General features: G+C 39.5%; 1 non-coding gene across 1 annotated transcript; it reads left to right on the top strand.

Moving 5' to 3' along the window:
* The first annotated feature begins 9,869 nt into the window (after positions 1–9,869).
* On the top strand, positions 9,870–9,942 carry MIR1246 (microRNA 1246). Its single transcript, NR_031648.1, has one exon. It is a non-coding gene; the product is annotated as a microRNA 1246 (primary transcript).
* The last annotated feature ends 2,307 nt before the right edge of the window (positions 9,943–12,249 follow it).

Below are 12,249 nucleotides of genomic sequence, written 5' to 3'. Positions count from 1 at the left end.
ATAATTTCAGTTATTTTATAGATAATAAAATCTTATAAGGGTTATATTCGGTTCATGAGAGTTACTCATTTCCTTTTCTGGGGATGGTTGGTGAATCAAGTGAATAGCATAGAGAAGAGCTTCTCAAACTATCTCTTGTGGAAGGTTAGCTTTTTAAAAAATTTTCCAAGAGGTTGGCAACTTTTGTAAAACCAATAAAAATAAACTACTGTTTTTCAAAAGAAGACATACAAATGGTCGTGGTATGAAAAAATGCTCAACATCACTAATCATCAGGGAAATGCAAACCCAAAGCACAATGAGATACCACCTTGCTCCAATTAGAAGGCGGTTACCAAAAAGACAAAAGAAAAGTGTCTTTTCTTACATACTATTGGTAGGAATGTAAATTAGTACAGCCATTATGGAAAACAGTATAGTGGTATCCCAGAAAATTAAAACAAGTACTACCATATGATCCAGGAACCCCACTAATGGGTATATATCTGAAAATAAAAATCAGTATATTAAAGAGATTTCTGCACTCCCATGCTTATTGCAGCACTACTCACACTAGCTAAGTGTCCAACAGTGGATAAATGAATAAAGAAAACGTGATATATATATATTCACAATAGAATACTACTGCACCATAAAAAAAGAATGAAATCCTGTGATTCGCGACAACATGCATGAATCTGGAAGACCTTATGTTAAGTGAACTAAGTCAGACACAGAAAGAAACACCACATGATCTCACTCATATGTGGAAACTTAAAAAAAAGGTTGGGGCCCGGCGCAGTGGTTCACGCCTGTAATCCCAGCACCTTGGGAGGCCGAGGCAGGCGGATCACGAGGTCAGGAGATCGAGACCATTCTGGCTAACACAGTGAAACCCTGTCTCTACTAAAAATACAAAAAATTAGCCTGGCGCGGTGGCAGGCGCCTGTAGTCCCAGCTACTCGGGAGGCTGAGGCAAGAGAATGGCGTGAACCCGGGAGGCGGAGCTTGCAGTGAGCCGAGATCACGCCACTGCCCTCCAGCCTGGGGGACAGAGCGAGACTCCGTCTCAAAAAAAAAAAAAAAAAAAAAGGGGGTATCACAGAAGCAGAGCAGAACAGTGGTTACTAGAGACTGCAGACGGGGATGAATGAGGGGAAAAACAGGGAGAGGTTTGTCAATGGGTACAAAGTTACAATTAGGAGGAATAAAATTCTGGTGTCCTGTTGCACAGTAGGGTGACTATGGTTAACAGTAAGGTATTGTGTATTATAAAATAGCTGGAAGAGAGGTTTTTGAATGTCCTAAACACAAATAAATGATAAGAGCATGAGGTGATGGTATGCTAACTAAGCTGATTTGATCATTATATAACAGATACATGTATCAAAACATCACATTGTACTCCATAAATATATATAATTACAATTTGTCAATTTAAAAAAAGTTAAAGAATGCAAAATGCTTGCCCCCTTTTAATATTATATTCAGTAGACATAAAATTACATTTCAACTAATATTACCAAACATAAGAAAAAAAGTGAATTTTAAAAAACTGTACACATTGTTCATTGACAATGTCTGGAGAGACAAATAGAGAAAATTACTGTTACACTCATAATTTTTGTAATTCTTCAATCATAACGAAGTTATGAATGGAATAAATTCTGCATATTAAGCACCTATGTACACACTTTAATGAACAATTTGTATATTAATGTGTAATTTTCCTGTGATGAATGAGCTTGCTTCTTGATGTTAACTTATCTAATCTAGGCTAGACTGATGACAGTGCTACTTATAGGGGATAATGTATATCAAAACTGTCTCTATGTTTTGATAACAAAATAGACAAACCAGTCTTACATAGATATATTCATGGCAAAGAAAACAGGATATTCATTTTTAACATTTTTTCCCAAAATGTAGCAAGTGATGCTCTATGCAAAATTTTTAAATTCTTTATCAGTAAGCAGTTCCAACAATTTATTCTGTAAATTTGTAGTTAACTTTTGAACAGACAGGGACTTTTGTATTTATATACATTTGAGTTACAGTTGACAACTTAACCTTAAAATATTACATGCTTTAGCATGTTCTTACTACTTACCATCTGTAGCTCACCTTATGATTTCAAAACTCCCTGATCTGGTCTATATACTGTTCAATGAAGACAGTCCATTGACCATGCATTTGAACGTTAAGGCAATGTCAAATTCCTATAAAAATTTGTGCCCAATTACTCTCAATTTCTGTACATCTCATTTCAGACTAGTAATAGTTGATGGGCCACACTTTGAGTTATGTAGATAAAGGATTCCTTTAGTTCAGCAAAGCAATTGAGGTCATCTGTTGTGGTGAACTCAAGCAAGAGATTGGTGGTTGGACTCAAAGCAGATTTTATGAGATCCTGTAGATTGAGAATAACCCAAAGGAAAGGCTCAGAAAAATTGCCATTAGGTTCTTCATTTGAACCTTTCCTGTTCAATCCTTTTACCAATGACTTAGATGGGGTTATAAACTTATCAGATTTAAAAATATAGTTTATATTTATTAAGCATTTATTTTACATAATCCATATACTCAGCTAATTGTTCAAGGATTATTTCATTTAATCTTTAGAACAAAAATTTTATTATGTACATACTGTAATGCACAGTTCACAATAGGGTTATAAATCCCCAATTTATAAGTGAGAGAAGTTAAGTAACTTCCCTGAAGTCGCACTGCTAGTTGATGGAACTGGGATTTGAGTCCAAGCCAGCAGACTCCACATCCAAAGGCAAACCACCTAGTGGACAGGCAAAACTGGCCAAGATTGGCACAACTGTAAGTGAAGGAAACAGAATATTTGAAATATTCTCTAGGCTAAATTGCTAGGCAAAAATCAATAAGGTGAAAATAAGAGGAATAACTCTCAATTTCTCTATTAGATTAACATAAGTCAATTGCACAAAAGCAGGCTGAGGAAGATCTCACGCATCAGAGTCTCTTGGGCATCACCTTGTATCTTGCCAGCCTTTCTCTTCCCCCCCCCTTGAGACAGGGCCTTGTCCTGTTGCTCAGGCTGGAGTGCAGTGGCGCCATCTCAGCTCACTGCAACCTCCACCTCCCGGGCTCAAGTGATTCTCCTGCTTCAGCCTCCCAAGTAGTTGGGATTACAGGCATTCAACACCAAGCCCAGCTAATTTTTGTATTTCTTTGTAGAGACAGGGTTTCACCATGTTGGCCAGTCTGGTCTCGAACTCCTGGCCTCAAGTGACCCACCAGCCTCAATCTCCCAGAGTGCTGGGATTATAGGCATGAGCCACCGTGCCTGGCCTAGCCTCACTTCTAATTCTAGCTGCTGCTGTGGCACATATCCTCTAAAACAGGGGTCCCAACACCTGAGCCATGGACAGGTACTGGTCCATGGCCTGTTAGGACCCGGGCCACACAGCAGGAGGTGAGCCACAGGTTAGCGAGCATTACCAGCTGAGTTCCACCTCCTGTGAGATCAGTGGCAGCATTCAATTCTCATAGGAGCTCAAACCCTACTATGAACTGTGCATGTGAGGGATGGAGGTTGCACACTCCTTATGAAAATCTAATGCCTGATGAAATGACCACCACCCTATCTGTGGAAAAATTGTCTTCCACAAAAAAGGTTTTAGTGCCAAAAAGGTTGGGAACCACTGTGCTAGAAGCTCTGCAGGACACTTCTGCTAACAGAACCTCATTTAAAGAGCTCACATTTCTGCCCTGAGATTATTATTATTCTCCTCCTCCTTCTTCTCCTTCTCCTCCTTCTCCTTCTGTTTCTCCTTCTCCTTCTCTTTCTCTTCCTCCCACCTCCTCTTCCTTCTCCTTCTTCCAGCTTTATTAAGTATAACTGATGTGCAAAAATCTGCACATATTTAATGTCTATAATTTGATGAGTTTGGATATATGTGTACACACATGGAACCATCACCATAAGCTAGGTAATAAACATATCCATCATATTTATCCATCATTAACCTCTCCGAAAGTTTCCTTGTGACTCTGTATTTTTTTGTTTGGTTTTTGTTTGTATGTTTGTTTGTTTTTGTGGTAAGCACACCTAATATGAGATCTACTCCCCTAAAATTTTTAAGGGCCCAGTACGGTATTGTTAACTATAGGTACTGTGATGTATAGCAGTTCTCCAGAACTTATTCATGTTGCATAACTGAAACTTTATACCCATTGAACAGCTCTCCATTTCTTTCTCCCCCAGTCCCGGGTGACCACACTTCTACTCTCCACTTTTATGAGCTTGTGTAGTAATAAACACCTACATTAAAAAGGAAGAAAGATCACAAATAAACAACCCAACTTTATACGTAAAGGACCTAGAAAAGGACAAACTAAGCCAAATTAGCAGAAGAAAGGAAATAGTAAATATTAGAGCAGAAATAAATGAAATAGAAAATTTTAGAAAATCACAAAACAGTTGTTTTCTTGAAAAGAACCCTATTGTGAACTGTGCATGCAAAAGATCTATGCTGCGCACTCCTTAGAAGAACCTAATGCCTGATGAAACCATCCCCCGACCACCACCCCATCCACGGAAAAATTGTCTTTTTCCCCTGAGAAGGATGGTTAAAACTGACAAAATTCAGCTCAACTAAGAAAATAAGATTCAAATAAATAGAATCAGAAATGAAAGAGGAGACATTATAACTGATGCCACAGAATATAAAAGACCATAAGAGGCTACTGTGAACAATTATATGCCAACAAATTGGATAACCTTGAAGAAACGGATAAAGCCCTGCGATTCTTAGGAACTGCACCTAGAGAAGCCTGCTCAGGTCACATGCAACAGTAGCTGGGGCAACTCCTAGACAACAGGTATGAGAGTTGATGGATAAATGTGTTTTGTTTCAGTGGTTTTCATTATGAGCAATTCTGAGTAGCATTCTATATCCTCAGATGGTCCTAACAAGATAGTCCAGTTGAGTACAAGAGGAACCAACTCTATAAGGAACTGATGGGCTTCTCCTCTGTCCCTGGTTGTCACTCCTGATCCCTAGGATCATCTTCAAAGACACCTGCTGCACACAGGTCCTGGTCATCAGACTCTACTTACTCTACTTTGGTGGGAACCCAGGTGAAGACACTGACCTAGCAGCAAATCATGTAATAAATAGATCTTATTAGATGACAAGTTCAGCCCAAGACAGGAGTGTGATATGACGGGGGGTGGGGGGGAGGGTGGGCGGGGAAGGTGGGAGAGACAGAGAGAGATAAAGGAAGAAAGGAATGAGGTAGGGAAGGGAACATAATAATACCTTGAGTGCTATCACCTAGAAGTTTGTGCATAAATTATATGTCACCTGTAATCATAACCTCCAAGAGAATAGAAGGAGACAAAGAGAGGGAAATATGTTTTTGCTAGTTGGAGAATTCAAGGTACAAGGTGAGAAAAAAAACTGAAAGGTAGCTTCTAGCAGAGACAGACTCCTTAGCCTGGCTGTAGTGACATAGGTTTCAAGAAAATTTATAACTCTTAACATTTGGGTGTGAGTGTGAGTGAAATTTTCTGAGAAGGGCTCATACCTTTCAACATATTGTCAAAAGGCCCCTCATACAATAAAACTAAAAGAGAATCAAGTCCTACACTAGGTTGTATAGTAATGTGTACAAAGAACTTTTGAACTTCACAGAAGAAACGCTCCCAAAATTACTGCAATACTTCTCCTCTAACTAGCTATCATTCTCTGCTTATTTATCTGGTATCTACACCCAAGTACAGCCCCTCTGAGATAAGAGATGTAGGCTAGGAGGAAGAAGACCTCTGTCCTGGTCTGCCCTCTGTAACCACGAGACCCTGTCCAACTCATCTAAGCCTTGGTTTTCTCACTGGTAAAATGGGCCAAGGGAGTAGGTTGGCAGAATATAAAGTAAGGATTAGGAAAATCAGATGAGAAGACATATGAAAGTGCTTTGTGAACTCTACGGCCCGTACCAGATGTAAAAGGTATTGTGTGGTTGAATGGACTCATTTTCCAGGTAGGGAGCTAGGGTAGAGCTCCCTAGCTAGTCTATGGACCCATCATCTGGGAGCTGGTTAGAAATTCAGAAACTCAGCAACCCACCACCTCACCTTCTGAATCAGAATCTGCTTTTTTATTTTTATTTTTTTATTTTTTGTTTTTTCAAGACAGAGTCTTGCTCTGTTGCTCAGGCTAGAGTGCAATGGTCTGATCTCGGCTCACTGTAGCCTCTGCCTCATGAGTTCAAGCAATTCTCATGCCTCAGCCACCCAAGTAGCTTGGTTTACAAGTATGTGCCACCATGCACAGCTAATTTTTGTATTTTTAGTAGAGACGGGGTTTTGCCATGTTGCCCAGGCTGGTCTTGAACTCCTGGCCTCAAGTGATCCACCCACCTCGGCCTCCCAAAGTGCTAGGATTACAGGTGTGAGCCACCACACCTGGCCCAGAATCTGCATTTTAACAAGACCTCTGGGTGATTCTTGTCCAAGTTAAAATTTGAGAAACCAGAGTAGAAGACAATTGGGATTCTTTTCAACTTGGAACTTCTGATTTAATGACTACAATTTTTAAATTTATTCTCTCCCATCTCTCCAAGTTGCTATTGTATCCTCCTTTTTTCTAGTCATTATGGCCTAATTCAACATTGTTTCCACACAGTGTTCCACAAACATTGACTTAATACTGCTGAGAATGAGCTGAATGTAACCTTATATCACCCTTATCATCCTTTTTAAAACAACTGACTTCTTAAAAATTACAAATGCCCATATTGTCCACATCCTCCTCTCAAAGGAAATCTGCTACTAAAATTAAAAAAAATAATAATAATTTTAACTGGGCTTTTCTAGTTAGTCATTAGGTGCCTGGAAAACAAAGTCTTAAAAAAGAATCCTGGGCAGATGAAGACGTTCAAATGATACTGATAATAAATACACCTCTTAACGTTTGCTAACTGCTCTAATCCCTGCTATTTTGACATTGGTGCAAAGGAATTACCACCTGAAGACATGGGGCAGGTCAGTTGGCATCTACAGAGACTCAGTTCTTCTCAAGTTAGGGCCCTTTGCATCACTTATGGCCACCAAGAGGGATTAATCAACACCCTCCCCCACCCTCCCAAAAAAGACACACACACAAGTTTGTGAGCCAAGTGATTTGGTCCCATTACAATGTTGCTCTTAAGCTCTGTGCTCAGCCTGCCTGCAGCCTTCAAAAGTGCAAAGTTCCCACGCACATGAAAGGATGATTTTCCAGGCATTCCTGGATGGCCTTAAGATATTTGTTGTTTGCATGTTGGTCTTGTTTTTGTTTGTTTTTACTTAGGCTTTTTACAACTGGGTACTACACTGCAGCATCCTTGAAGAAAAAAGCCTGCTAGAACAGGTAATGGTAATAATGCTAATAATACCTTGGGTGTATACAGTACCTTTCTTTCTAAATGCTTGATATGTCTTTACATTGATTATCTCTTTTATCTTCATGACACCCCTTAGAATTGTTCCAAGGCAGATAACTCATGGGCTAAGATCTGGCCTCTTGAGCTTCCAGTACAATGTCTAAAGTAGAAAGCTTAAGAGACATTGGCCGAGTCATAGCCACTTGCAAAATCTTGCATCTTCTGGACTAAGAGATCATTTGTCTAATTGTTTTCATTGCTTTTGAGTTCTTTCCAAAGTTAATTCCCAACCTTAATTAGTTCTAGTTATGAGATCTCCAAGACTATATTCTTTGTAAACATATGCTACTTTATTAGTTAAGTCTAAATATTTATGAAATCTTTCAGTCTAGTAGTTTGGCTTCTCTGATAATTGTGGTCTTTATCTCTTTATAAAATGAGATACTGAAAGAGACACATTCAGCCTTGGTGCCTAGACCTGGCAGAAAGCAGAAAATGGTCTATTTTCCCTTATTTGTCTTCATTTTATTTTTAATCTGAGTCCATGTTGGCAGAGGAGGTTGGAACAGAATAAAACAGACAAATGACTGAGTGAATAGAAGGTAGGTGTATCAAAGATGAAGAAGGGGCCAAATTTGTAAGCATAAGTAAGGACCACATAACATTCTTCAACACTGATGGCTTTGTTGTATCCAAAAGTTTTTTTAAACTCTTTTCAAGGTAGCCCCAAATGACCTGTGCCTGCCCATGTATCTCCAGGGTGCTTTGGCTCTGCCTACAGACTACCTCACTCAACTAAGAACCTGAGTGGTTTGTCTGAACCTGAAACTATTGCCTCACAGATGTGTACAGAAGACCCACGGGTATGTTCACATCAGTAAAAAAAATGGGTCCATAGCTTAACTGCTGTGCTTCTTAGCTAAGGTCTTTGGATAAACTCCAAAGCAATAAATCATCACATATGCCAGGAAAGAAATTTTTTTGGAGTTGGAGTTATTATATGGCCCTAATATATACTACCACATAAGAATAACAATAATAATAATGGATACCCTACAACTTTTCCACTTACAATACACATGTCAGTAGTGATGTCTTGGAATGACCTATTATGTCATATGGGACAGCAGTGTTCTTTCTCAGAAATGTCAATGGAGATAAACAGATCAACTGAGGGTTAGCAGTGACAGGACATACAATTGTAGCAGAGCACGTTATTAGATGGGTGGACAGCATGTGAAGTCATAGAAAGTTAAGAAGTAGCGAAAACTATGAATAAGGATAAGGAAGTAGAGAAAATATATAAAGTGGTTTTAAACTTGAATGCCTTCATCTGAAAAAAAGTAAATGTACGGATTTGCAACTAAGTGGCAAAAATTAATACATGCCTTGCCAAAAACATTCAAATTCAAAATTTGATCTAAATATTAAGCTGGCCAAATAAAGCACAACTTCAGGCTGTATTTGGCTTCTTGGCCACCATTTTCTGAATCTTGGAAGAGATGGAAGAAAGAAGCTGGTCAGTGTCGAGAGAGCAGTGGCCACAGCAAGAGGACAGCAACGTCACAGAGAACAGACACAATGGGAGCAAGAACATGTCACCTGAAAAGGAGAGAGAGAGGTGGCCAGAGGAGACCTAGAGTGTTCTCTATCCCCTGGGACTTTGCTTTCTTCTTCCAATTCCAGTCCACGTGTGATCTTGCAATAAAGGTGTTTCTTTTAAAGGAGTCTGGATAAGAGTCACTTTTTCAGAGTCATCACCTACATGCCTTTGCTGATTTTCATAAAAACCCTACAGAGTAGAGGGCTGGAAATTGGGGTCCTGGGGCCTTGTCTAGTGCTGCTTTCAACACAACCCTAAGAATTATGTTCAGTGTAGCGTGACTGAGAAGCACACATAAATGTTTCCTCCTAATGCATTGCATTTCAAACCTATTTGATTCACAATGGCCATGCGGTCATTTCTTTTAAAATCCTTGGAGAAAAGTTGCTCCACAAAGAGGAATTAATGGTGGTCTTACCAGTGCTGGGAGAGTTATCTTCTCAAACTCATCCAATTCTGTCTGCAGAAAACCACACAGAGGATCTGAACACCTAAATATGTCATCACATGAAGAATATGAAGTAACTATGTAAAATAATACAGCCATACATTAGCCTAAATAGTGCTAATAAATTGTTAGGCTTAGCAGGAAATGGAAAATCACTAATGGAATAATGAAGAGTTTGTTTATTCCTGGAGCAGATGGCCATCATTCGTCATGTTCCCAGTTCCCCTGCTAAGAGCAGTAGCTAACAGGCTTGCTTGAGGTGATGAAGCAAGCCCAGGAAACCACTGCTTTCTAATTGCTAAAGGAAGTACAATTGTCACTCTAGGACCGAGAGAATTAACAGGGAGAATAATCCACATCAAGGGAACTTAGTAATGTGAACCATCAATGAAGTAGGACTGGGCAGAGATAAGAGACATTGCATTTGGAGGCGGTCAGATTTGTATCCTTGAATGGATTTTTGGAGCAGGAGTGGACACCTGACCCAAAGGAAATCAATCCATAGGCTAGCAATCAACCTATTTTTTGTTTTTGTAGCATTTGATCGTTATCGAGTTTTGCTGAATCCTACTTCTCTCTTTGTAAAACGGAAAAATAACAATACCTAACTCAAAGGGCTATTGCAAACACTGAATGAGATACAGCAAATGATGTGCCAGGCATGGTACCTATGACATGGGACATAGTAATGGTTAATTATTGCTATTGTTTAGCTAAAGCAGCAGTCAAATAGCCCTGAAACCAAGGTTCTATGTTTTTAAGGCCAAACTAGGAGGGTAAACTTTTGTAAACTTCTATTCACTATCAGAGTCAAAAAGAAGTACAGGTGGGTGGATCATAGTACCAGCTACAATTCACTTATTCATTCATTCGAAAACAAAATTTACTCTTGAATTAAAGTAGAGAAGAAAACTGATTGCTGCCAGAAATGATCAAAACCTGCTTTGTAGGATGTTACTTTACTTTGTAACAAAAATTAGAGAAATTAAATAATTTTTCTTTTTTGTTATGAAGAAGAAATATCAAAGTTACATGTTGGTGATATAAGGCAAGGTACACACCACACCCCAGTGATCTTTCTTTGGCATATAAATCAGTACACATAAGTGATGGTAATGCTGTCAGTGTAGCAAAATACGCTGTGGTAGACGCTGTGATGAAGCCCATCGTGAATGACACACACCTGTTCTCCAATTTCTCATCCTCACTTGCAGCAGCGTGACATCAAGAGGGATTATAGACTGAGAGACTGGGTAGAGGGTGTATTAGTCTGTTCTTGCTTTGCTATAAAGAACTGCCTGAGACTGGGTAATTTACAAAGAAAAGAGGTTTAATTGACTCACAGCTCCACAGGCTGTACAGGGAATATGACTGGGGAGGCTGCAGAAAACTTACAATCATGGCGAAAGGCGAAGGGAAAGCAGGCCAGAGCAGGAGGGAGAGGGCAAAAAGGGAGCTGTTACGCATTTCTAAACAACCAGATCTTGTGAGAACTTACTCATTATCACAAGAACAGCAGGGGGGATGTCGCCTCATGATCTAATCAACTCCCACCAGGACCCTCCTCCAACACTGGGGATCACAATTTGACATGAGATTTGGGTGGGGACACAAATCCAAACCAGATCAGAGGGCTTTGTTTTTTTTCGTCGTGATTTTTCAATTTTAAGGTTCTTGAAGGCAGAAATTGTGTCTTGTTCATGATCTCTTGGGCATATTCATAGGCCTCAACCACCAAATTAAAGATAGCTTAGAAATAAAAAATGGGCAGTTATTAATTGCAACAACATTCATATACAGGAGTCATTTTCTTTCTTTGAAGTGCTTTATGAACTTGAGCAAAGGCCAGTTTGAGGAGTAAGTTTCTTCAGCTTGTTCATGGTAAGTGATCGAAAGTTAGGCAGAGAAAGTGGCCTAGGCATGTGGCATTCCTCCACTTTGGCCAACTTATCTCTCAAAGTCAGACTCATCATGTGCTGTGCAATAATGGAGACAGGCGAATCAGAGAGGCTCTGACTTAGAGCACTGGAGGTGACTTCCTTTCCGCCAGCCTGTTTGTCTTCAGATTCCTTAGAGCAGTTGCTCCAACTCTCATCTTATGAACGGCTGGTTATCCTTGACACTGGGGGACTAAAGTCATCTTCTCCCTTCTCAGGGACACAAACAAAAATGACACTACCTTGAGATAATACCTAACACGAATTATTCCACCACATCATATCTTGGGGCTCAGATACTGTATTCTTTCCTAGTCTAACACATGCAGCAAGAATACATGGCAACTATAATAAATGCTTCTAATTAACAAATAAAAATACATCTGCGCCAAGTGAGAGATATAGCTGCTTAAGAACCCTCCTTGGCTGCTGGGCTTGCCTATGATGGATCAAAGCTTTTAAACACATCATAATGACAAAAGGGATGGGATTTTCAGACCCTTTCATCCACGGAATGGCTTTTGGGCTTACTCTGCAGAAAGATTTTTTTCCCTACTTGTAAGAAATGAGTTTAAGCCAGAATCAAATTTTGATACTTTAAAAAAAAAAAATTCAGCCAGTACAATTGATAGCACCAGTTAAAGGAATGAAACACTTTTGCATGGAAACAATGATTCATGAACTGCTCTTGCCTACAGGAGATGAAACCATTTGGGCTTTCCTCAGCAATGCTTATATTACTGGCAACATTTAAAAAAACTTCATTATATAGAGAAAATTCCAGCCTTCAATTTTTCTTCTTGAGAGGGTTCAGTGGTTGCTTTGGTATATGTGTGTCTCTTGGTGAGTGTGTGTGTGCATGTGGGCACACACATGAGTGTGTT

Source organism: Homo sapiens, chromosome 2 (genome assembly GCF_000001405.40).
Source record: "Homo sapiens chromosome 2, GRCh38.p14 Primary Assembly".
NCBI lineage: Eukaryota > Metazoa > Chordata > Mammalia > Primates > Hominidae > Homo > Homo sapiens.
This window is presented reverse-complemented; position numbering and strand designations above follow the sequence as displayed.